This window comes from Homo sapiens, chromosome 17, assembly GCF_000001405.40.
Source record: "Homo sapiens chromosome 17, GRCh38.p14 Primary Assembly".
Taxonomy (NCBI): Eukaryota; Metazoa; Chordata; class Mammalia; order Primates; family Hominidae; genus Homo; species Homo sapiens.
In genome coordinates, this window is record NC_000017.11 from 60,544,402 (window position 1) to 60,545,624 (window position 1,223).

Sequence of the window (1,223 nt, forward strand, 5' to 3'; positions counted from 1 at the left end):
ATCTCTTGATCCCTGGAGGTGGAGGTTGCAGTGAGCCAAGATCATGCCAGCTGGGCAACAGAGCGAGGCTCCATCTCAAAAAAAAAAAAAAAAAAAAAAAAAGCTGGGTCCGTGCTCATGCCTGTAATCCCAGCACTTTGGGAAGCTGAGGCGGGCGGATCACCTGAGGTCAAGAGTTCAAAACCAGCCTGCCCAACATGGCGAAACCCCATCTCTACTAAAAATATAAAAATTAGCCAGGCATGTTGGTGCATGCCTGTAATCCCAGCTACTCAGGAGGCTGAGGCAGGGGAATCGCTGGAACCCAGCAGGCAGAGGTTGCAGTGAGCTAAGATCAGGCCACTGCACTCCAGCCTGGGCAACAGAGCAAGACTCTTTCTCAAAAAATAAATTTAAAAAAAGAAAATAAAAATAAATTAAAAATATAAATAAATAAATAAAATAATAGTCATTCTAATGGGTGTGAAGTGGTATTAAAATATTTTTGTAGCCAGGTGCAGTGGCTCATGCCTGTAATCTCAGCACTTTGGGGAGGCCAATGAGAGAGGATCACTTGAGCTCAGAAGTTCAGGGCAGCAGTGAGCTAGAATGGCACCATTGTGCTCCAGCCTGGGCGACTGGGCAACAGAGACTCTGTCTCTTAAAAAAAAAGGCTAGGTGGTGGCTCACGATCACTTGAACCCAGGAGTTGAAGACCAGCCTGGGCAACATAGTGAGACCCTATCTCTACAAAATTTTTTTAAAAATTTAAAAAAGTAGCCAGTTGTGGTAGTGCATGCTTTTGATCCCAGCTACTTGGGAGGCTGAGATAAGAGGATCGCTTGAGCCTGGGAGGTCAAGACTGCACTTGTGAGTGATGATTGCACCACAGCACTTCAGCTAGGGTGACAGAGCAAAACCCTGTCTCTAATTAATTAAAATACATTTTTAAAATTTTGTCTTACAAAATCCACAGAAGGGTGAGCTAGCCTGATAAGAAAGGCCTATTAAGTTTAGAGTTGAAGACACTAAAGTTACATCAGAAAATGTTTAGGCAAACATGTTAGGAAACTTAAAAATGTTCAACTGGTTTTTTGATGTTTTCGCACATCTTCAAATAGATTATGTATGAGGATGTTTATACAGTTTGTTTATGTGGTAAGATATCAGTTTCTATGTTTGTTTGTTTTTGAGACAGGGTCTCACTCTGTTGCCCAGGCTGGAGCGCAGTGGCACAATCACAG